At 39.3% G+C, this 26,445-nt stretch overlaps 1 long non-coding RNA gene across 1 annotated transcript; it reads left to right on the top strand.

Moving 5' to 3' along the window:
* The first annotated feature begins 331 nt into the window (after positions 1-331).
* LINC02919 (long intergenic non-protein coding RNA 2919) lies at positions 332-15,335 on the top strand. Its single transcript, XR_001744395.1, has 2 exons — positions 332-846; positions 13,402-15,335. It is a non-coding gene; the product is annotated as a long intergenic non-protein coding RNA 2919 (long non-coding RNA).
* Positions 15,336-26,445: the final 11,110 nt, after the last annotated feature.

Here is a 26,445-nt window from a genome sequence, read left to right as displayed (position 1 = left end):
GCAGTGGCACGATCTCAGCTCACTGCAAGCTCCACCTCCCGGGTTCACGCCATTCTCCCACCTCAGCCTCCCAAGTAGCTGGGACTACAGGTGCCTGCCACCACGCCTGGCTAATTTTTTTTGTATTTTTAGTAGAGACGGGGTTTCACCATATTAGCCAGGATGGTCTCGATCTCCTGACCCCATGATCTGCCTGCCTTGGCCTCCCAAAGTGTTGGGATTACAGGTGTGAGCCACTGCACCCGGCCAATAAGGCTTCAATAGCTTTGCTTGGTAGTCTTTTTTTTAGTCTATCATTCTCTATCTCTTTATTATATTCAATGTATTTTGATGTGTCTCTTATAAACATTGCAAGGATTTGTTAAAAATCTTATCAAACAGGAATGACTTTCACTTTTACCCATACAAAACATAAAGCTAAAAGATTGGACAAAATATGTGAAGCAATGATTTCCAGACAGTGGACTTTGGACATTGACAGTGCAAGCCTTTAATCCCTAACAGAAGAGAATCTCACGAGATGACTCTCACTTCATGCTAGCTCTGTGCCTGGAGAAAATTTTCTGAGCACAAAGAGGTAGAATGCAACCAGAAAGAAAACTGTGGCCCTACTGAACTGAGGAAGAAGAGGTCAGAGTTCTGGAATCAGAAAGAGCAAGTAGGAAGGGTGCTGCACCTAAGGACTCTAGATCCTTGGTTTGGGACTGGGCCTCACACATGTAATGTGAGGCTCTTGAGACTGAGGAGGACTGCTGTTCGGTCAGGATCAGAAGGAATATGCTAGAGTTCAAGCCACCATGCAAGATCCGTGAGCAACTCCTTAGGTGAATTGTGAAAGACAGCCAGGTATACTCTTTGCTATTGCAAATGGTCACACTTTCACTTCTATCCAAGACTTACTGTTGATTTTACCTTTCCCCTCTGTTTTCATTATGCTTGTGGGTTTTTTCCTGAACCTTTTTCACTCTGTCAAAATGTGTGCCAGGGCTCTCTGGGACCATTATCCAAATAAAACATAAAAATATTTCTTTGCCAATTTTTCTTAAAAGGAATTGACCTGTAGTGTCATTAAAAATATAAAATTGATTTGAGGGTAGATATAAGACCCAAATATCATTAACCAGGTATTTAAATAGGAATTATTTAACTAGATAAACTCCTTGTCAATGCATATTGTCAAGTTTTAAAAAATGTTACTCAGAGACTGATGCAATCAACTCGCTAGTTCTGGAATAGGGTAAAGACTAGAGGCAAAGAACAGTTCATGAGAATTAATAGTGTAGGTAGCCATCTACAAAATGTTACTGACTGGCCTGCCATAGGCTCTGTCATAATGTGGCCGACTGCCACGGTTACTACTTGAGACGGTCATTATAGCAGTTACTGTTGTTACTGCCTGAGACCGTCATTACAAACTGAACGAAGGGACGAACTTAGAAATTATAACAAAAAACAAAAGAAACTGTTTTAAAGGAAGGGAAGCCGGGGAAGAAGAAGAGAGCTCCCCACTTCCAGTGAGCAAAGGCACCCCTGAGCTTCCACAGCCCCTCCTATTTATTGGGTAACAAAAGCGAGGAGAAGGAGGTAACAACTGGTCAGCTGCTTAATTGATCACACGTTCATATTGTTACTAACAGGCTTCAGATGTACCTAATCACAAGAAACACTGCGCTTGGGGCATGACTGCCCTCAGCATTCCTTCTGGATGGCAGATGCAGTTTTGTCAGTTTGTCACAATTCTGCATTTATGAGAAACAGTTTTGTTGCTTACTCATATAGCCTCCAGTGGTATACTGAGTTGATCACGACCCTCATTCTTTCGGCCTGTAACATCATAGGACCAAGATTTATGCTTAGAAAATTCCTTCCAGTCTTGACGTCTACAGACATCATGTTCTTCATGCCTCTGGAAATTCTTTTTTTTTTTTTTTTTTTTTTTTTGAGACAGAGTCTCGCTCTGTCGCCCAGGCTGGAGTGCAGTGGCATGATCTCAGCTCATTGTAAGCTCTGCCTCCCGGGTTTACGCCATTCTTCTGCCTCAGCCTCCCGACTAGCTGGGACTACGGGCGTCCACCACCATGCCTGGTTAATTTTTTGTATTTTTAGTAGAGACGGGGTTTCACCGTATTAGCCAGGATGGTCTCGATCTCCTGACCTCGTGATCCACCTGCCTCAGCCTCCCAAAGTGCTAGGATTATAGGCGTGAGCCACCGCGCCTGGCCTGGAAGTTCTTTTTCTCTGTTTTTTTGGAGACAGAGTCTCATTCTGTCCTCCAGGCTGGAGTGCAGTGGTGCAATCTCGGCTCACTGCAACCTCTGCCTTCCAGGTTCAAGCGATTCTCACGCCTCAGCCTCCTGAGTAGCTGGGACTATAGGCGTGTGCCACCAGGACCCGCTAATTTTTAGCAGAGACAGGGTTTCACCATGTGGGCCAGGCTGATCTCGAACTCCTGCCCTCAAATGATCTGCCTGCCTCGACCTCCCAAAGTGCTGGGATTACAGGTGTGAGCCACCACGCCCAGCCAAAATGGGATGCCATGTTGCATAGGCCAGGAAATGAACCTGGACCTCCTGCATGGCAGGTGAAAATTCTACCACTGAATCACCCATGCACCTATGGAAGTTCTTTCACAATACCTCTTGAAGGGGTAGTATTTAAGTGGGATCAGCTCTTTCCACAGGAATAATCAATAATTTCAGTGGTTCTCTTAAGGTCCAAGGGGCTTCCATCTATAGTCTGATTTGATTTGGCAACATCAGATGTGTTGAATGGCACTGAGTAGACACTCACATCTTACCACTTGTGCTATGAAGCAACAGTGATTCCGAGATACCAGGTGACTTTTTTTTTTTTTTGGCTTGTAAGCACCAGTGTCTTACTCTTTCCACTTCTCCTTGCTGCTTTCCTAGCAACAGTTCCCAGCAGCAAGAGCTTCTGTGAGCTTTACTATTTGGTCAGGCACTAGTCTGTAGAAGAGAGGTGGGGCAGATCAGAGCCAAAGTCCCTAGCTCAAAAATTTCTCTTCAACATTATTTTGGGGTGGCACCAAGAATGATAGGCGTTCCCAAAGCCACATTTTGCTATAGCTTCTCCTCTGCTCTTCCTATGGAGTTTTCATAGTGAACCTGACCTCATTTACTCCCTTTTTTTCCATCCTCAGGCTTCCTTCTCACTCCTCTCCTCGGGCATACAGTAACCCCTACTCTATCACTTTACTCATTACCCATTTACACGAGAACTGCACTGACCAACATGGTAGCCACTAGCCACATGCAACGATTTAAATTTAAATGAGTTAAAACGAAATTTAAAATTCAGTCACTCGGTTGTTCTAGCCCCATTTCAAGTGCTCAATAGACACATGAGGCTAGTGGACTAAGAAAGTAGACGCACAAATATAGAACATTTCCATCATCACAGAAGCTTCTATTTGTTGAACAGAGTTGCACTAAAGTATAAATGACTAATAATAGCTTAAAATACTTTTCCTTCTGGGAGAGCTATATTTAACTGAATTCTTTTACTAAATGGATCCAGCTCTGATATTAGCCTTTGTTTAAGAGAAGGTTTATAAGCATCCAGCCTCTCCGCTGCCCCAGAAAGCTTAACACCTAGACCAGAGGTGCTCAGATCTATTTGCACATAGGATCACCTGGGAAACGCAATCAGACTCTCAGAAGGGAGCGGGGCAGGACACTTTAGTTTTTAAAGTCCAGGTGATTCTAATATTCAGTTGACATTGAGAACCACAGACCTAAGCTGTTACTTGGGATGGCCAGGTCTCTGATGGTGATAATTTTGCTTTAGGTGTAAAGTAATCCATCAGCCTGGCTTGTTACTTCCCAGAGCCACATTTACTATTGCATTCTGATTTTTGCTTGGGCTCCTTTGGCCCCAGAAACTTGCTTTGCTTTTCTTTAACTCGCAGCAATTGATTTTGTTAGAGTTTCTGTCTAACTGACTAATATATTTAATACTTAGTAATACTGATAAGGAGGAAGCCTCAATGATGCAGGTAATAGAGTGATAAGCAAATTTAAGGCGTAAGGCAGGAAATCATTGGTTATTTGCTTTCTGCTCTTCAAATAACCACATTCATTTCCTATTAGCCAAACTAAAAATAACAGAGTAAAGAGAAAGAATATTTTTCATATAGTTGTCAGAGGCCCGCAGAACCCAGAGCCAAGAACAATCACCGCAGACCATGCAGTGGAAGGCACTACTTTACTTACCTAGAGGAAGGAGGCACTAGGATTCAAGACACACACAGCTGTCTAGAGGCAGGACTACACAGCTTGGTCACTCCCAGCAGAACTCTATCCAGTCTGTGCTCCTGTCTCCCTCTGGTTCATTTAAAGCATCAATGTAACTACTCAAAATTCATATAACAAAGCAATATGTTCATTCAAAGCAGTATGTAACTATCAGAACAGCTTAAACCAAAAGCTATTGGGTTAGGAAAAAATGAGTTAGGGAAAATGGATTGGGGGAACGGGTTAGGGAAAAAACCACGAGACAAACCCAAGTTTTTTTGGTCCTGTTTTTTTTGTTTGTTTGTTTGTTTTTGAGACAGGGTCTTGCTCTGTTGCAGTGGCGCAATCATGGTTCACTGCAGCTTTGACTTCCTGGGCTCAAGTGATCCTCCCACCTCAGCCTCCTGAATAGCTGGGACTACAGGCATATGTCACCACACCCAGCTCATTTTTAAAATTATTTTTTTAGAGATGGGGTCTTGCTATGCTGTCCAGACTGGTCTGGAACAATGAGTTCAAGCAATCCTCACGACTTAGCTTCCCAAGGTGCTGGGATTACGGGTGTGAGCCACCATGCCTGGCCAGTCCTAAATGTTATACATTTTGTGGAACTCTCTTTAAGGATAGAAAAAAACATTAGGTATGAAACAAATATTTATAAAAGGTTACAAAACAAATAACATTACAGTTTTCAAAGACTTTCTCCAAATCAGAAAATCCAGAAAAAATATTTTATTTATTAACTGCTGATACATCTTATACTACTTCTACTGTAATTTGTGCTGCACGTAACAACATTTTTTTTTTGTAGAGATGGGGTTCTCACTATGTTGCCTAGGCTGGTCTTGAACTCCTGACCTCAAGCAATCTTCTTACCTCAGTCTCCTAAAGGAATTACAGGTGTGAGCTACTGTGCCTGGCCTATAACAACTTTTATATCACTATTTTGGCAAGAATAGTATGCAAATTCTGTCTTTCCACCATTGTGAGGGGTTAATATTATTAGCCAATATTTATAGTTACTGATAGTTTAGAAAACTTTCAGCTTCAAACTCCATTATTGATAATGCCATATGTATTTTTAGAATCTTCATCAAATCTAAAAAAAACTCTAGTTCCTTTTTTATATATAAGCTGTAAGATTTCTGGCATTTCAAGTTTTCTTGTCTATTGACTTATTTTAAATGCTAACGCCCACTAACCAGTGTGACGCTGATGTTTTTTATGGTGAATTAGGAGTGTATGTTATCTTTGCTAATGTCAGATTTCGTGCCATGTCAGCAAGAAAGTTAATAAACGCCTAAGCAAGAGCAAAGAGCATGGCCCAGCAAAGGAAGAAGTGCCCTTTGGCTGGAGCATGGTGTAAAGGGAGATCTAGAGGGGACATAACCTAGAAAGGTGTGTTAAAGCCAGGTCGGACACGAGTTGTAGTGCCAAATGCTGTTGGTGGTTGAGGATAGACTATCATGCCTCTCAGTTAAAGAAAGAATTAAGAAAACTGTTTATGGATTACTGAACACATGAAAGGAGTGTAGGGTACAGAGAATTTTCAATAGAGTCAGACAAACCTCTGGATTCTGTCTCTACCCTCACTAGCATGTGAGGCCTCCCCAACAACCAGTCATGGGAGTGACTGCAAGCTACATAAAGAGATCTCACTAAATCCAAAGTGAATGTGTCATCAACATCAACTCAACTAGCCCTTAGCTGTATTTCAAAAATGACATGTTTACTCCAACTCTACCTGGCAAGGGGGGAAACATGAGGGATCTGAAGTTGGATCAAAAAGGAGAATATTCTGAACTAATTGGATAAAATGTCTTACTTTTGCAAATTTTACAAGTACATATGGCCATATGAAGATACTACTGGGACCCCACCTAGAGTCTTGGTGTGGCACAGGCAAAGGAGAAGTCCCAAAGCTTAAGCATCAATAACATCAATGTAAATTCTCTGCTTGGAGCCAGATGCCTGGGTTTGAAACTTAGCTGTGTAACTGTGCAGAAGTTACCTAATCTTTCTGGGCCTCAGTTTCCTCATTTGTGAAGTACTAACAATAGTATCTACCTCATAGGGTGGTTGAGAGGATTGATTTATATATGTAAATAGCTAATAACAGTGCTTAGCACATATTAAAGGCTTTTTATCTTAGAACAAGCTTGTCCAATTCACCTCACGTCTCAAAGGCTGCATGCGGCCCAGGATGGATTTGAATGCAGCCCCACACAAATTTGTAAACTTTTTTTTTTTTTGAGACTGAGTCTCACTCTGTCACTCAGGCTGGAGTGCAGTGGCACCATCTCAGCTCATTGCAAGCTCCGCCTCCCGGGTTCATGCCATTCTCCTGCCTCAGCCTCCTGAGTAGCTGGGACTACAGGTGCTCACCACCACGCCTGGCTAATTTTTTGTATTTTTAGTATAGACGGGGTTTCACCGTGTTAGCCAGGATGGTCTCGATCTCCTGACCTCATGATCCTCCCACCTCGGCCTCCCAAAGTGCTGGGATTACAGGCATGAGCCACCGTGCCTGGCCAAATTTGTAAACTTTCTTAAAACACTATGAGTTTTTTTGTGATTTTTTTTTTTTTTTTTAGCTCATCAGCTGTTGTTAGTGTTAGTGTATTTCATGTGTGGTTCAAGACAATTCTTCTTCTTCCAATGTGGACCAGGGAAGCCAAAAGATTGGACACCCCTGTTTAAGAAGTATATTAACAATAGATCACATTTGTATGGTATTCTTCATTATAATATGATTCATCTGATCCTTTCAATATTTCCACAGTCTGGTTATCCTTGTTTCTATTCTTCAGATGAGAAAATCCAGGTCACAGGAGTTTAAGCAATTTGCCTCCCACTGTGTTTTAGATGTCTCTCCTTAGAGCTTTTTTGCCTGCCTCTCTTATTGCACAAATGATATGGCGACATGACAACATACGTATTTGTCCCCATCCTCCACTCAGGAATAATCACTGATGGAAAGGCCAGGGTCTTGTCTGACTTCAAATCCCCAGGGCCTGTTAGTGGGCAATCAAAGCAAATGTATGCTTTATATGCCTATATTTCTTTTTTCTTTTCTTTCTTTCTTTTTTTTTTTTTTTTTTTTTTGAGACGGAGTTTCACTCTTGTTTCCCAGGCTGGAGTGCAGTGTTGCGATCTTGGCTCACTGCAACCTTCATGTCCCGGGTGCAAGCGATTCTCCTGCCTCAGCCTCCCAAGTAGCTGGAATTACAGGCACCCGCCACCATGCCCGGCTAATTTTTTGAATTTTTAGTAGAGATGAGGTTTCGCCATGTTGGTCAGGCTGCTGTCAAACTCCTGACCCCAGGTGATCCATCTGCCTCAGCCTCCCAAAGTGCTGGGATTACAGACATGAGCCACCACGCCCGGCCATATGCCTATATTTCTTAAAGGACTAGTCCTTATTTCTACCACCTGACTTCATCTATAAACTCCGTGGATGTGTCTTTCAAGGTATAGAAATATGATCTTCTCTAGACATGCTAATGGTAATAATTGTTTGAAATTCCCATTCTTTTCTTAAAGAATGAGGCCCTCTTTTACATTATGGGGAAAACATGTACATTTTCTGACTATATTAAAGCATGGGAACTACTTGAAATGGGGAATTAAAAAACAGTTCTTCCTTTCAACACAAGCCAGTGGAGAGAAACAGAGCATGCTGGAACTAAAGTCATCCCCACATCTTTTGTTGGCCTTCTTCTAATAACTGGAATTTCCTTTGGAAATCATTTATTATAGGTATCTACTATTCTTAGAGCACACTTATTGGCTGTAATTTCTTGCCAGCTTGCAAGTTATTTGTAATGTTTTCCACCATCAAGAATCCCTGTTGTGGTTTATTTTGAATGGACTGATTGCCTAGTTCCACTGGAAAACTTCTATGATGGAATTTATAGCTACTTGATTATGTCTTTCCACATGTTTTATGTATTTAAAGCTCCTGGGGATTAGTGCATAGAAAACACGTGGATTTGGTTTGGGCTCTGATTTTTACTCATTTTCTCTGCAGGATTCCTTCAACCTACACAGTGACCAACCTCATCTCCTCCAAATTTCAGGTTGTGCTGCAGCCTAATCAATCAGCAATCTGAATAAAAATAAAACTGGAAAGTTATCCTTTCCAATCACCAACTTTCTCAGTTCACCTTAATAATCTTTTGTAGATGCTACAAAGCTGTGGTATCTCAGCTGTGTGAGAAAGCAAAACAAAACAAATTGAACTGGGCTTTTTTAAGAGCCCAGCAGATTAGAATTTAAATGTGAAGATTGTCTTTTTTTTTTAAACACACTATCATCCTATTGAGAAATGATTCCAGATTTACAAACTGAATAATAATGAAATTATATAACTGCTTTTCAAACTAAGAAAACTAGGTTTGCAGACCCTAAAATTGAGCTACTATTTGCTCCAGCATTCCCATTATTGAGTATATACCCAAAGCGAAATAAATAGTTCTATCAAAAAGACACATGCACTCAAATGTTCATCAGAGCGCTATTCACGATAGGAAAGACATGGAATCAACCTAGGTGCCCAACAACAGTGGATTGGGTAAAGAAAACGTGGTATATATACACCATGGAATACTAGACAGCCATAAAAAAGAAAGAAATTATGTCCTTTGCATTGACGTGGATGCAGCTGGAGCCCATTAACCTAAGCAAATTAATGCAAAAACAGAAAGGCAAATAACTACATGTTTCACTTATGAGTGGGAGCTAAATATTGATTACACGTGGACATAAAGATGGGAACAACAGATACTGAGGACTACTGGGAGGAGGACATGGGCTGAAAAACTATTGGGCATTATGCTCACTACCTGGGTGACAGGATCATTTGTACCCCAAATCTCTGCATCATGCAATACACTCATGTAACAAACCTGCACAAACCTGAATCCAAAATAGAAGTTGCAAAAAATAAATAATAAAATTTGATTTTCTCTTTAGATCTTTCTGGTGAAAAATCCAGGTAATCAGAGTTGTCCTTGGATGAAGACATCCCCAAAATGTGTTTGATAGTTCTTCAAGGAGCAGACCTCTCCCCCTCGGTCTTTACTATTTTATTTTATATTTTATTTTATTTTATTTTTTGAGACAGTTTCACTCTGTCACCCAGGCTGGAGTACAGTGCTGTGATCCTGGCTCATTGCCACGTCTGCCTCCTGGGTTCAAACAATTCTCGTGCCTCAGCCTCCCAACATAGCTGGGACTACAGGCATGCACCACCATGCCCAGCTAATTTGTATAATTTTAGTAGAGATGGAGTTTTACCATGTTGGCCAGGCTGGTCTCGAACTCCTGACCTCAAGCAATCCACCTGCCTTGGCCTCCCAAAGTGCTGGGATCACGGGTGTGAGCCACGGCACCCGGCCGTTCTTTACTAATTTATTTTTACCTCCATGTAAATTTAAGAACTTTTTTTACTTATCTGATATTTAACACTGAGCATTGAAAGAAACTAAGACTTTTGAGCACGTGAAAACCACTGACTGAAAATGGAAAGTTAACATGTGAAATGGAAATTAGCAAGGTAACAGCAGTAGCAAAAAAGATATAAATAATAATGGTTTCAACACTCGTTATGTCTTCACATTTTTTGAATCCTTACTAGTCTTCACTGATCCATATAAACTCCTGGAGAAGCCTAGAAATAAAGGAGAGGACGACTCTACTCACACTCTTTCTTCCACTCCAATAATGGGAGACAGAGAAGAAAAGGAAAGAGAAAAATACCTTAGATAATTAGTCACAAAGGAATTGACCATTTTTTTCAGAGAAGATGAATTTCAAGGCCCCATTTCCTAGAAATTTTTTAAAAAGGAAACTTTGTTCCTTTTTAATTAATGGAAAGTTACAGCCACTTAAGGAACTTAAAGTTTAGGATGTATCATTTGGGAGAACTTTAATGAGTAGGAATGTCTTACTCATTCTTCCATGAGCTCGCTATTAATAGCTGTAATTCAAGTGCATCATAAAGGTTTAAAGGATGCTCATCCACCGGGAGATAGGTCCTATTTTTCTTGTACACTGAAACAGGTAATTAACAACCTGGAGGACATGGGGCAAAAGATACAAAACATTATTTGAAGTTTTTAATTTTTATTAATCTGCCTATCCTAGCATTCTCAACCTTTTTCATTTTCTTCAGTCATCCATCATTAGTAATTCTGAACTCCTTGCAGAACAGCTGACGGTCTCTTAGGAAGGATCTTATAGGAAGGAGAATAGAGTTAGTAGAACCAGACTTTGAATATCGTCTTTTTGGGACAACAAAGTGTCCCAAGTACCAGACCACTTTGTGCAGCTTCTGATAACCTGAGCAGAAGGAAACAACTGGAACCTTGAGCTCATTTAAAGTCGTGATAAATTATCTTTACAAAGGAGGGCCAACAAAAGAAAAAACAAGCCTATAAACTTTCCTCAGTCAGAATGTAAAGTGATGCAAGACTCACCTCAACCACTTCTACGGTATCAATTAGCTGAGGGAGGATAATATAGACCTGTTTTCAAACGGTGGTGAAAAGTCAGCTCACTCCCATGGCCAGAGTTCATATTCTCTAACTCTCAGGTATTTCATTTAGTTTAGTTCAATAAGTTTACTGAAGGCCAATGATGTATTGGTAACTGGAGGTGATACAATAAATAAGGTACAATTCTTTTCTGCTAAGAGCTTGGCAATTGATCACCTGATGAGCTGAATCATGAATTCTTCCCAACATGACTGTCAATGAACCATGTTCACTTGGAGCCTTTTGCTTCTGAATGTGAAATGGATTCAGTTTCTTACTTGACTAATTGTATGTCTTATTCCTCTATTTGGGTTATTTGTTGTCTGGGGGTGGGGCAGTCATCGAATGTTTATTCTAAGTACGTGTGTTCATTTATTGTCATTTTGTGTAAGCATATTTTCTTTTCATGCCTCTCATCCTTAAGATTTTATCCCTGGCTTTTTCCAAATCTTATTCTGCTGGCAATTTCTTTCTCCCTTTCTCTTGGGTTTTGACATATGTCTCTCTTTCTCTCTTTTTGTTGTTAACAGTAAACGTATTTGAAGGCAGGAGGGCCTAATTGCAAAGATAAAATTAAGGTTAAAAAAATTAAAATATTTAACAGACATTACATACAAATTAAATGAAATATTTTGTGGATAGAATGAGGTGGGGAGATTTTGATAGTTCACCTTCATCTGTAAGGATTTATCTCTTTTAGAAAATCTGAAGTTTGCTTCATATTTAGAAAATGTAAGCATGTTTAATTGTTGGAACCATTCATTTTTGCTATCTTTCTAACCTCCTGCTTTTATTTTTAATTTTAGAGTCACACACACACACACTTACACTACACATGCACAACATTGTTGTATAAAGGAAACATCTCTTCAATGCCTGTGAAATAAAATACCAATTCTGAGTCCACCTCTTCAACATTTCTCTCCCTTCCTCCCTGACCCTGTCTGCTTCCACTTGTTTTCTTACAACTCTGTGCTTCCGCTGACACCCATGTGCATGATCTTTCCCCACAGCTACACTTTTCTGAAGCCTACCTTGCCTTTAATGTCGATCTCTTTCATGGATTGTATGAAACATTTTGACATTTAAGCAGAATAATAATAATAATAATGGCAACCATTTGCCTTGCTCTGCACTAGACACCATGATGCATTATCTTATTTTGTCCTCCTGAGAGCCTTATAAGGGCGAGGAAATATAGGTTTAAAAACTTGCTCAAATTCACAAACTAGCAAATGTAGAGGTAGAATTGGATCTAAGGTTTACAGCACCCCAAGTTGCACGTTCCAAACCTGAAGAAAGAATCTCTGAAAGAAACTGAAGGTGTAAAGACTTCTAGGTGAGAAGTAAGGGGAGAATTAATGGAAACTGGGAGGAGGGAAAAGTGGTTGGAAAAGTATAGTGATGGAATTGACAATACTTGATATTTAATTGAATATGAAATCAGAGAAAGCAGTTAAACAAAATGTCATTGTTACTTGCCTTGGTAACTAGGACAATGGGAGTTCCGTCCAAAGCCATCACCTTCATTGCTGGAATCTGCGCCAAGGAGAATAAAGACATTTATTTTGGGATAATATAATAGCTTAAGTATAACCTATTGCATTATTCCTCTGAGTAATGAAGGTTTGTCCCTGGCAGCCCTTCTGCTGTGAAGATTCAGACTTAAGCCTGATCTTATTTCCAAGGGCAGCAGAGGGCAGACACTGCCAAGACCAAAGAAATCAATGTTCTGTTTTGAATTTCAAAATAGGTATTTTTGAAGTCTATGGTGAGATGATAATCTCAAAAGAAGTTTTTTTTTATTATTTGTAAGAGCCTGGCTTAATGAGCAATAAAAGGGTTTTTCCAGAATTTCCAAATCTAGGCTTTGAATATTAAGTCATATACAGAGGACTAAAGCACGACCTCCACAACAGAGGTTGCTGTTGTGGAGGTTGCTCAAGCAGTCCTCCCACCTTAGCCTCTCAAGTAGCTGGGACTTACAGGTGCCTGTTGCCACAACTGGCTAAGTTTTGTATTTTTTGTAAAGGTGGGGTTTCACCACGATGCCCAGGCTGCTCTCAAATTCCTTGGTTCAAATGATTCTCCTTCCTAGGCCTCCCCAAATGCATGAAGATTTAATATAACTACAGAGTAGGGAAGGATATGGCTATGACATAAGTGAGAGCAATTCCAGTCCTTTCTATGTCTGAGGGGAGGAATCGAGTCATGGGGAGAGGAGAATGAGAACAAGTCGAGTCTAGGGGGAGAGGAGAATGAGAACAAGGACAGAGAGAGCACGTGAGCACAGTGAAGCATGAAGACAAGAAAGAAAGCTGACCAATTTGGGGAATCTAGTCCATGCTCCGCTGCTCTCTTACAAAGGTGAAGAGGGACTTACTGATGACAGTCACAGTGGTAGAAGAACCCCAATAGCTTTGGAATAACCCCAAAGCCAGAGGATTTTCTCCTCCTTTCCTATGGCGTGGCCCCTTCAGGAACGTTTGCATTCAGCATCATTCTAGAGCAACATGGCAACCTGGAAATACAGCAGTGGATGAAATCATAATTGCCCATGTTAAAGAAGAGGTTTAAGTATATGGGCCTGAGATACTATTCTTGGTTTCCAGGGCCTATATTTGGAGTGCAAGGGTTCTGGAAGTTTCTGTATGTCCTGGAAGTAATGTGGATGTGGTAAGAGAACTGGAAAAGAGCAGAGATCAGGAAGCAGAGGCTGAAGAGTGAGAAGAACACCAGCACTAGAGGCCACCACTGGGAGGTCAGCAGGGGAGAAGTACAGAACCTGAGAGAACAGATGAATTCAGCAGTGCTTCATGGTATGAACACAGGCTCAGCATGTTTGTGACCAACTGGGTCCATCCAGACCACAGCAGGGGCCACCAGGACAGGGGAGGGTGGCAGACCAGGTGCTACTTCATGCAACAGGTCACTGAGCCTGCTTGAGACATTATATCTGAGAAGACAAGTAGAAAGAAGAAAAAGGTGAAGACTGTGTATGTATTTAATAGGCACTTATTTAACCAGGGAGATGAGTGTAGAATTTAATTGGAGAAACTAATGAATGTAAAATGGCAAGCAAAAGAGGCAGAAGGCCCTGTGAGGTGGTCCTAATGAGTCAGTCCAGTTGAGTTATAGAGAAATAAATTTACCATTTTCTGAATCAGAATCAGAGTGGGTCCACTTTGACCTCTCCACTCTGGATTGCCTCTAATCAACTCTGTATTTCATGGTATGGTACCCAGATTTTTGTTGTTAACAATAGGGACTCTCTGGAAGTTTTCTATTTTAACTATTTTTTTTTATTGAGGTGTAATTTAACTTAGATGTTAAATTTCAGAATTAATAAAACTTCATTCACTAACATCTGTATGCCTTATAAACGTGGATGCTTGGGGCAAAGCCCCACTTGCTCCATCATAATTACATGGGCAGAAATACGGAACATAAGACGAGTAAAAAGGCTGGGAAGGCAACAAGATAAATTTTTTAAAAATAAAATTTTTATTTTAGAATAGTTTTCGAGTTACAGAAAAATTCTAATGGTAGCACAGAAAGCTTTCTTATACCCTACACCCAGTTCCTTTGTTATTAAAGTCTTATATTAGTGTGGTGCATTTCTTACAATTAATGAACCAGTATTAATACATTGTAATTAGCTGAAGTTCATACTTTACTCATATTGTCTTAATTTTTATTTAGCATCCCTCTTTTTCTGTTCCGGAATCCCACCTAGGATAGTGGGTTTTGTTTAATTGCCACGTCGCCTTAGTTTCCTCTCAGCTGTGACAGTTTCTCAGACTTTCCTTGTTTTTGATGACCTTGTTAGTGTTGAGGAGTACTGGTCAGGTATTTTGTAGAAAGTCCTTTGATTGGAATTTGTCTCATATTTTTCTCATGATTAGTCTAGGTATGGGTTTCCGGAGATCACAGGGCAGTAAGGGTACCATGTTCATGACAGGATAGTAAGGGTATATGTGTCAATATGACTTATCATGACTTATCACTGTTGGTGTTGATCTTGGTCACCAGGCTGTGGCCGGGTTTGTCAGGTTTCTCCACATAAACTTACACTCCCCCCAACTTTATTCTGCTGTGCTCTTTGTAAGGAAGTCTCTATGTACAGATCACACCTAAGAAATGGGGAATTATGCTCCACTTCCTTGAGGGTGACGTTTGGACCTAAAATGAGTTCACTTTTGACACACAAAGTTTGAGAAGCCTTGGAAATACATAGTGGAAGCTCTCCGTGGGTGTTTAATATGCAAAATTATTGTTCCTAGAGAAATCAGGACAGAGAAGGAGAGAGAGAGAGTAGGAAATAAGAGCATCTGAGAAAGATAATATTCAGCAGTACCTAGAAGAGGCACCTGAAGGAGAGAGATGAAGGGAGAAATCTGTGGGGAAAATGGAACAACCGGTAATGAAGTGTCCAGGAAGCCAAGGGAAAACACACTGAAAAAGGGGAGGACAGTTAGTTATATAAAATGCTGTAATAAATTTATGCATTTGGTAACTAATAAAAGTTAATCATTGTCTTTTATTATTTATTAGTTGTGTGCCCCTATCTATTAATAAAAACGGGAGCATACTCTTGAGCTTATGCCCTTATCAACTCTTAGCCATTCCCAAGGTTGGCTTGCCCATCCCCCCCACTAAACTCTGGTCATGTTCTATCCTGGCTTTGCAATGAATTATTTCTTATTGTCATTACAAATCAGAATTTTCCAGTATCCAATGGAATAAAGGCATTCCTGCTATAGAAAAATGACAGCATGTTTTTGTAATCTTGAGTGACCTTTATTGAAGTTAAGAGGTACTTGAGAAAAACAATAGAATAAGGAAAATGCAGAGGTATAACCAGCATCATACATTTTGAGAGTGATCCTTGGGAACTCTGCATACATACCACATACACCAACAAAAAGAAAAACAAGTCCAGTGGAAAAGGCAATGGAAAGGAGTGTGGAGAACTGTACTCTAGCTCTACCTGTATTTGTCTTCATGCTGCACAGTCTGTGGAGACTCTTCTCTTCTTTGGATTTGCTGCCTCACCAATAAAGTGAGCAGACTGGGCTACCCAGCCTCTATAGTTCTGTTCATTACAGCACATGATCTGAGGTGTATTTTTTTTTTTTTTTTGAGACAGAGTCTCGCTCTGTCACCAGGCTGGAGTGCAGTGGCGCGATCTTGGCTCACTGCAACCTCCGCCTCCCAGGTTCAAGCGATTCTCCTGCCTCAGCCTCCCAAGTAGCTGGGACTACTGGCTCCCACCACCGCACCCAGCTAATTTTGTATTTTTAATACAGATGGGGTTTCATCATGTTGGCCAGGATAATCTTGATCTCTTGAGATCTTAAATGTATTTGATTCGGTATTGGTTAAACCTGAGATGTAAATGTTCTATTCAATATATCATTAAGAATTTTCCTCTTGAACTAAATACTTCTTCCTTATTTTCCTTTTCTTTGATTTTTATTTACTATCACCCCAGTAACATTGAACTAACTACCTTTTAGCAAAAGGAGAAAAGCACATTTATACTTGTGTAAAGTTTATTTCTTTATCTAGTCAATATTATACTGACAGCCTCAAGTCTTTGGAAAACGTTTCAGAGAGTCACATTAGAATTTGACTCTTTTAAGGCACAGTAGAAGCTATGAATTCTAAGCCAAATATTTGTGATCCCACGTAAAACCAGAACCAAAAGGAAATTAAATGTTTTAGGGCCTTGTTTTCTAAGCCCTGCTCTTGGATTGATACTTGGTAGCTGAAGGGAAGGACAATCCTGGAAATTAAAACTGTCATTGAGAAGAATAATTTGGGGCTTTAACATATAAATTTGTATAAGAAGCATTCTGTAGAATTCTGATAAAGGTAATGTGTGTAATCACCCAGTGCTGTCTTGGCTTATGGTAATCACTCAGTATTCTCAGCATTTTATAAAATAAGGTTTAGCTTTCATTGGGCCCTTATTAACTAAATTAGCTGTGATCAGCCAAAGTATTTTTCTTTTTCTTTCAGTGGAATATTAAGGCACCAGTGATTTTTTTTTCAACCTGTGGGTTTTCAGGAGAGTTATGTGCAAAGCTTTTGTCATTTTGAGTCATTTTTAAAATTTACTAGTGAAGATAATATTTATAGGGAACATGTGCTTTGAAATTTAGCTTTGTTTTACAGAAATTGTGCTGTGGAGAAAGATTCCTTCCAAATTGATTTCAACAATCCCAATTCTGTGAAAACTACCTTGCCTATTCTGGATGGAAACTTGATTTCCATCCAGTTTATAGTGTGTTAGAAAGAAACAAGTCCAGACGGATGCTTATGACACGCTGTACTTACTTGTTTTCAGGTCTCTATCCCATAGGCTGGAACCCGTACCCCCTGGGAAAAGATATTGTGTCTTTGCCTGGCACCTTACTTATAAGGTGCTCGATATATATTAAAATAACAAACTTCAGGTTCCAAATATAACGATAAAACCAATTCTAAAATCCACATTGTAAGGGGACACTGGGTGGGAGTGGTGGATAGTGTTTGCGGTTAAACATTCTCCATATCTCCTTCACCACCACCACCACCACCCTGAGTAAAATCTATGTACAGGTAAACAAAGCTTCAGGGGAAGTCTGTTTGGCCCTCCTTCCTCCCAGATGGTCTTAGACTCCTCCTACATAGCAATTTTGGAGCTGACACTGCAGAGTTTTGTTTGGGGGCTTCATGTTTCTAGCAAGTATTCCATTTATGTTGACATTTTATTCATAAGCTCTGAGACTACCTATTCCTAGAGCCTACATTTATTCTATCTTTCAAAAACAAATACGCTAGCATTCCTGCATACTTACTGTTTTATCCGCCTTAGAAGTGAGCCCCTTACACACTAGAAACAGCAATTTTATAGTTCCATGTTATGCCAGCCCTTTTCATTCTGTAAGCTAATATGATGTAATATGATGCTTTTTTTTTTTTTTTGCATACTGAAAGCTCAATAACTAGTTTGAGATAGACCTACATGCACACACAGCCTAATGGAATTCTAACCTCATTGTTTTGTAGATAACAAATTCTTCAAATTGCTCGGGGTTATTTAGTGGCCAGTGAAAACTGTGATCTATACTGATTATCTGAAGAAACTTTCGTGTGTAGATATCAATAAAATGTGTGTCAAGAATGGAATTCAGACTATACTTTTCACTTTGTCTCAGCAACACACAATTCTACCAAAATGAGTAAGTGAATATATGAATGAATGCTTAAAACCTTATAAAGTATAATTATATTATACAGAGCATCCAGTGTATGCAGTAACCAAGCTAGGCATTTTTTTCTTTTTTTTTTTTTTTTTGCCTTGGCCTCCCGAGTAGCCAGGACTACAGGTGTGCACCACCATGCCCAGCTAATTTTTGTGTTTTTAGTAGAGACTGGGTTTCACCATGTTGGCCAGGCTGGTCTGGAACTCTTGACCTCAAGTGATACACCCGCCTCAGCCTCCCAAAGTGCTGAGATTACAGGTGCGAGCCACCACACCCCACTCCAAGCTAAGCATTTTATACTCACTATTTCTGATCCTTTAAATAACTCTTTATTGTTTTTCCCATTTGTAGGTGAAGAGGCTCAGAGAAGTTATATACTTTCCTTCAACTAGTAAATGGCAGACCTAGGTTTGGAATACATTAACTACAAAATCCTCATTCTTTTCATTACGTAACTAGTTTCCTAAGATGAAGGTTGTCGCTGGTTCCCTTGAAAGAAAACCTTACGGCAGATATCTAACAATTTTCCCAAAGGATTATTTTAATAGTGACTTGTCAATATCACATTAACTCCATAAATTATCATTATGACTGTTTGGATGCTGTTCAAGGCGACAGGTTCTTTTCTGTCCTATGTTAATGTATTCCTTAGTGATAATGTCTGTAGACTGTAGACAAACTCCTGTGCCCCTGTGCTTCCCATCTGATAAACAGTAGTGTGGCAAAAAGCCTTCAAATACACACAGTGCACCTTGTCATTGAGATTTTTAAGAACACTTGAAGGTAACAAATGTAAAAATAAGATAGAGAATATAACATTAGCATGAATTATAAGATACATCTCATGATTTCAGAGACATGGCCTGTGTTTCTCCTTTATTCCAGAAAACTTGGCAGGTATCCATTCATTCTCTTTTGACTTCTTGAAAGGAACATGTTTGGAGCATTTGCCTTCCCTATTTTCAAAAAAAGTAACTCTCTGTTTTTTACAAATTATACTTCCACTTTAGACATTCTTTCATAGTTTAACTTCCTTTTCTTAAAATGCTACAGTTCTGGAGACTTTGAACAAGGAGGAAGCAGACTTTAGGTGTAGCTTTTCCACTAGTGATTATTGCAGTGCTTTTTCTTCTCATTAAGGAAATTCAGAAGATGTAATACTCTTTCCCCCACTCATTGATTAAGACACTTTGCACCATTTATTGATCTATCACCAACTTTAATGTCCAGAGATGGAAAAGGCTTATAAGGCCACCTGCATCAGTCATCGTAAGTATAGGCTGAAATGCTTCCATTTATATTTTACTCCACACTAGACATTGTGAAAGTGCTTCACAAGTATTCGGTTTTTATTCAAGTAAACTTATTTCTCCCATTTTGTGGATAAGGACAAGGAAGTTTTGTGGGTTCCAAGTAACTTGTCAGTGACAACATGGTTAGCAAGTTGTAGAGCCCGATTTTATAATGGTGATGGAATATCAGGGACTGTATTTTTATTATTTGTTTATTTTTTCCCACAGGGAATCATTATTAACATTTGTGAAACCTCTAAAATACATAATTAGAGGTTGGTTTATGCACATAAGCATGCAATTACTGGTTATACTTAACACTGGGAGAGAGAGAGAAGACATACTTTTAACAACCGGGTTTCACAGAAAGTATCGAAATGCTACTGCTGTCCCTGGAAATTAAAGAAATAGCCTCTTAGCAGATCAGAATTCAATGTTAAGCAGTAGAAAAGAGGTTGGACAAGCCCTGTGTACTTCTCCTCTAACATCTAAATGATTCCATTTTTAGATAAGTTGGACACATGCCAACTTGTCAATGCAATAAAAAAGCATTATTTTCTTCAATGGCGATGCAATTTTTCTATCATAAACCATGATGTTCTTAAGAATAGGGCCTGATTACTAATTACTCGCTGAAAGAACAGCTCAACCTCATAACATTAACTTCTATAAATACACACACACACACACAAAAAAAAATTTGGTAGACATTTTCTAATGTTTGAATGTACAATTCCAAGTCACTCTTCAGATAAATCAATTGATTCTGCTAGTTTGGTAAATTTTGCAGATAACTCCAGGCAGGTCCATCAAACTAGAGTGCAGTTTAAACCAGACATTCTAAAGAATTCATATTGAACATCTCTCAGATTACTAGTACTACCCAGTATTGAACTCTCTGGGCTAAAATATTTGCCATAATGTTTTATGATATATGTCACAAATCTTTTTCTGTAAAGGACCAGGCAGGAACTATGTTAGTTAGGCTAACCTGCCCTTCCTCCCTAGGTCTGAGGAGTGGACAATGATGTCATCAAGGAATCTCTCTGAGTAGTGAGATTATGGGTGATCCTTACTGTTTATTATATAACTTTTTCTACCCTTTCTTAACTTTCTTTGCTTTTTTTTTTTTTTTTTTTTTTGAGATGGAGTTTTGCTCTGGTTGCCCAGGCTTGCATGCAATGGCACAATCTTGGCTCACCGCAACCTCCACTTCCCGGGTTCAAGTGACTCTCCTGTCTCAGTCTCCCGAGTAGCTGGGATTACAGGCACCCACCACCACAACTGGCTAATTTTTGTATTTTTAGTAGAGACAAGGTTTTGCCATGTTGGCCAGGCTGGTCTCGAACTCCTGACCTCACGGGATCGGCCCATCTCGGCCTCCCAAAGTGCTGGGATTACAGGCATGAGCCACTGCGCCTGGCCCCTTTCTTAACTTTCTAAAATGAAAAAATATATTTTTATAATCAGAAAAAAACTTTTCAAAAAAAATTCACCCAACGCACATCACACACACGTATCAAAACAACTAAATAGTTAAGCTACAGCAACCTTTTAGAGAAATTTTGATCTTACATCTTAGAAGAACCAGAGTTGTTCCTGGGACTATGACACACTCTTACTGCCCAGGAAATATCAATGGCACCGAGTGACAAGAACACAGGGATGCTTAACAGTGAAGTTCAGGCTTTGCAGTCACAGTGATATGATTTAAACCCTACATCACATCCTTGTTAGCTGTATGGACTTGGCAACTTACTCACTCTCTTCAGCTTTATGTCCTTTGATGGAAATAGAAACCAGTAACCTTCCAGAGTTATTATAAGATTATGAAAGAACACATCATGCATTTTGTGGAGGGCCTGTCACAGAATCAGGGCATCGCATGTAATAGATACGGCTGAAAGCAATGTTATCATCCTGTAGTTCTTTGATCCAGGATACTTAGTACTGAAAGCTGAAAAGAGGGAGAGAGGAAGATTTATTTCACAAATATGTTGTAAAGTTTTAGAAAAGCAAGATATCTAACTGGATCTCGTGGGCCTCAAGAAAACCGAAACACAGGAGGCTAATGTCATGTGGCTCATGATGGCAGAGCCTGGATCATGAAGCCCAGTGCCCTTTAGGCCAGCGCCTTTGGTGGCAAGGTGATGCCTTTTTTTATTTAGTATATTCAGAGAGCAAGATTCCTACAACTCTTTGAATTATTTTAGCCATTAAAGTCCAGAATAGTCAATTAGAATTAGCCAAATAATACCATAACAGATACTACTTTATCAGAAGATATCCTTTTTAAAATATATGTGTTTTTTAAAAATTTGCTTGTTTCCTGTTTGATTTTAATTGCATCTCATAATTAAAAGAGGGAAGATTATCTACCTGAGAATGTAAACATAGGTTAATGGGTATGCATAATTTGACTGTTTTGCATAGATCCAAATATATCCATGTTTTATATACATAATACAATAATACAAAGTGTTTACAGTGATTGTCTCTGGGCTTGAGGGGATTTTTTACTTTTTGCTTTGCTTTCCTATGGTTTTTGGATTTTTTTCCCCTGAGAATGAATTGTTTTTCTAAGAAGCTGTATATCTCACTCACATCCATGAAAATTAACCTAAAATGATTTGAATACTAGAAATTATCCCATGCAGAGCTTCTCACAAAATCTGCTCCCCTTTATTTCTGGGCAGATGGCTGTGCTCCATTTCTCAACCTCCTCTGCAGCTAGGTGTAGCCATATGACTGCCTTTCCAATGAAATTGAAGTAGAACTGATGAGTACAATCTCTGCGGAAAGGCCTTAAGGAGATGACATACCACCTCCAAGGGCTCTTTCCATTCCTCCCACTGGATGTGGATGATGAAAAGGCTTTGGGTGATGATGGAGCCACAAGATAGAAGGAACCCGGCTTCACTGATCACCACCTGCAAGAGAGCCACCCTCTGACAAGATACACCCTCCTTGGACTTTCATATGAATAAAAAACAAACTTATATTGTGTTTGTGCTATTACACATTTTGGAGTACATATGTTGTAGTAGTATAATCCACTTTGGCTATTGTGAACCCCTACAGGTTTTCTTTAGTAGCATGAAATTGTATGACATTCTCTATTAGATTAAAGTTAATTTTAGAAAATCAGATTTACTAACTGCAAACCGTTTGCATCACCAGCAAATATTCTCTGCCTTTTTAAAAAACCATTTGTTGGCCAGGCGCAGTGGCTCATACCTGTAATCCCAGCACTTTGGGAAGCCGAGGAGGGAGGATCATCTGAGGCCAGGAGTTTGAGAATAGACTGGCCAACATGGTGAAACCCCATCTCTACTATAAATACAAAAATTAGCCTTGCATGGTGGTAGGTGACTGTAATCCCAGCTACTCAGAAGGCCGAGGCAGGAGAATTGCTTGAACCTGGGAGACAGAGGTTGCAGTGAGCAGAAATTGCACCACTGCACTCCAGCCTGCGTGACAGAGCAAGAGCTTGTCTCAAAAACAAACAAACAAACAAACAAAAAAAACTATTTGTCACTGCAATGCACAGGCATTTACGATTTGTTTAGTATATGAAAACACCAATAAAATGCTGGTCTCAGCTGAGGGTTACTGTTAGAGGTATGTTTTTCAGGTGTGGGAAAATGCAATTGCTTCAATGAAAAAGTAATTGAAAACTCTATGACGCACAATTTAAATTTTTAGAATTTTTTCAACTGAATTTTAACATCACAACGTTTTTTTCACATATGTGAAAACTCTCTGTAAGATATTCTAAAATCCCCCATGTTAAAATAGTTGTCATTTAATACAACTTTATGTACTTGAGGCCACAATGACTATTTATCGTAAGTACTGAGAAATGTTACTTTTGAATTCCTGAAAATACATTGAGATCCATGAAGGATGGGAAGCAGATTTATCAACTAAATTAGACCTTGCACAGTGGAAAGCTGGCAACATTCTAGTTTTGGCATTGCATTTTGTCTAAGATCCAGATATCATACTTTATTATACACTGTATATAATTCTCGACCTGGACTAGAGACAGACATCTTTAGCACATCTGTCTTTCATTACTCAAAGGAGCTACTCCTGGGAAAGAATGATTATATTCCTTCATGCATATTTTCAAAAGCAAACTGATAAAAAATTTGGAATTTTAGATTGTTTGCATCGACAGTTTTAATTTTTCATTCTCTTAAGATCCAAGTGCGTGCTTTAAACAAAACTGCTTGCTACCAGAGGATGTGGATGTTTTGCTGGGAAGTATACTGCAAATTATGCCTAACAGCAGACAGACTGGGCTGCTGTTGACAAAGACAGACTCAGGTTTGGTTATTTCATGGTTGTGGTTGTTCATAAGGAAAGAAACAATTCTTTTGGATTACAACTAATTTGTTTTTTTTTTTTAACTGACTGATAGACTCTAAAATAACAGTTAAGAATACACTTTTAAATTATATAAGGCCTTTCCCCAGAACTTGACAAAACTTAAATATCACTACCAATTTTAGTCAGTCAAATACTTCAAAAAGTGCTATTTACATTTAACAGATATGAAATTAAAACTATTGTAAAAATTGTTTTGGCATTAACATATTGTAACTGGATAAGTAATTGATCCCGAGAATGCCAATCAAGAAATCTCCAGAGACCCAATCACCCTCGAGAAGGGGAAACACGGTTCCTTTGCCATATGCCCTCTTTATTGGGTTATCATTTTCCTACAATTCCCTAGCATGATATATTAGTAACTGCTGGGTTCATTTGAAGGCTCATAAAGTAATAATGTCAATCACAAGGATTAAAAACACTCTTCCCTTGGCTCTCATTCCTGCATGAATGAATTGCCTATATGAATGTAATCCAAATTTGGAAATGGTGGAAGCCAGAAAAAATAAGAACCACTGAGAAAGAAAGTCGAGGGAAAAGCCAAGCTTGAGTGAGAACTTAACTTGTGATTTTGCTACAAAAATTTTTACTGGAGCGTCTGGATAATTGTGAAAACAAATAGAGTTTTTCCTTTTAGGTCCCACTAGACATTGACTGGTGTCAATGTCAAATTACATAAGGTTTTCCTTGTAAGTACAGCTGCATACACTACTTAGGCAGGGTTTTTTAAAAACTATATATTTTTTTGTGCCTGAGCAGCTTTGTCTGGTGAAGTTTCTCAGAATAATATTTTGAAATGGATAAAGTAAAATAAAGTATACTCATTTTCCAATGCTGCTGTACCAAAATACCACAAATCGGGGAATGAATACAAATTTATCTTACAGTTCTAGAGGTCAGAAGTCTGATAGAGGTCTTACTGGGCTAAAATTAAGGTGTTGACAAGGCTGCATTCCTTTTTGGAAGATCTAAGGGAGGCTGTGTTTCCTTGCCTTTCCCAGCTTCTCAAGGCCACCCGCATTCCTTGGCTCATGGTCCTCTTTTTCCATCTTCAAAGGCTGCAAAGGTGATCAACTCCTTTCCATAGCCCTCTTTGATCACAGCTGGGAAAGGTTCTTTGCTTCTGTAAACACATTAGATGAGCCCATCTGGGCGATTCAGGATAGTCTCCCCACCTGGTGGGATCTCCCCAGCAGTTTCCTTACCTTAATTATAAACACAGTCTCTTTTGCCATTTATAAGATCATATTCACAAGTACTGGGGATTACGGTGTAGGCTTCTTTGTTGGCCATTGTTTTACCTAGCAGAACTATATAGATAAAATAATTATGTGGAAATCAGTAATAAAAATATATTAAAAGCCAAGTTTTTGATATAATAATAAATACTTGTCTTTATTAACACTTTAAATAACAAGATCTAGAACAGATCTAACAATGCCCATATGTTCAAAAGAGTGATGAACATAAATTATTTTTCTGCAATGACTGTAATGAGGTTTGAAAATATCTGTAATTAATTTCTATTGATGATGGTCACAGAAATTGCTAATACTACTGTGGTTTGTTGTTTATATTCATAATTGCAGAAAATGCTAAATTTTGGCTGGGCGTGGTGGCTGATGCCTATAATCCCAGCACTTCGGGAGGCCTAGGCGGGCGGATCACCTAAGGTCAGGAGTTCGAGACCAGCCTGACCAACGTGAAGAAACCCCGTCTCTACTAAAAATACAAAATTAGCTGGGCATGGTGGTGCATGACTGTAATCCCAGCTACTCGGCAGGCTGAGGTGGGAGAATCACTTGAACCTGAGAGACACAGGTTGCAGTGAGCTGAGATCATGCCATTGCACTCCAGCCTGGGCGACAAGAGTGAAACTCAGTCGGGGAAGGGAAGGGAAGGGAAGGGAAGGGAAGGGAAGGGAAGAAGGGAAGGGAAGGGAAGTGAAGGGGAGGGGAGGTGAGGGGAGGGGAGGGAGAGGGGAGAGAAAGAAAGAAAAGAAAGAGCCAAATTTCAGCTAGATATAAAAAAGTAAAGATACGTTTTTTTCCCCTATCCTATCCAAGATCATAGACCCTTTTCCAGGTTAAGAACCTCTTGTTTAAGGAGACATCAAGAATTAAAACTCTGTTATTGCCCTGGGAATGGCAAAAAGAGTACAGACCCTTTTCTACAAGTCATGCAAATCATCTTGTACAGCAAGAGTTAGAGTTTCCATAATGCCAGGAAAATCCGAGTATCTTCAAGCTCTGCTTACTCTACAAAGCCTTCTTCGACATTTTTAAGGACACAGTGATAGCCTACACCCTTGTTATTTTCTCTCTCAATTTGACATTTTATCATACGATTTGACATGTTATTACACAATGTCTCAATTTGACATGTTATTACACATCGTCTCAATTTGACATTTTATCTTGGGACATTAGGTATCTTTTTATGTGTATGTTTCTTACTGCTCTAGGGAGATTGGAAACTGTAAGCAGAAGTGATATACGTCTTTGTACTTTTGTGGAGTTTTGAGGGCATTTTAGAGTAATAATTAGTGAATATTTATGAAGGAATTGACTAATCAATTAATGATCCCCGCTGGACTTACACATGTATTTTGAGGAAAATGTCAAATTTCAAAATGTGCTTAGCCAGCTGAATCATTTTGAAATAGTCTTCAGAACGTGATATAAGAAGAGAGTCAGAGGTGTTTTGGTTTTTACTC

Source organism: Homo sapiens, chromosome 6 (genome assembly GCF_000001405.40).
Source record: "Homo sapiens chromosome 6, GRCh38.p14 Primary Assembly".
NCBI classification, from domain to species: Eukaryota; Metazoa; Chordata; class Mammalia; order Primates; family Hominidae; genus Homo; species Homo sapiens.
The sequence above is the reverse complement of the archived record's forward strand: the minus strand, read 5'-3'. Positions and strand labels throughout refer to the sequence as shown.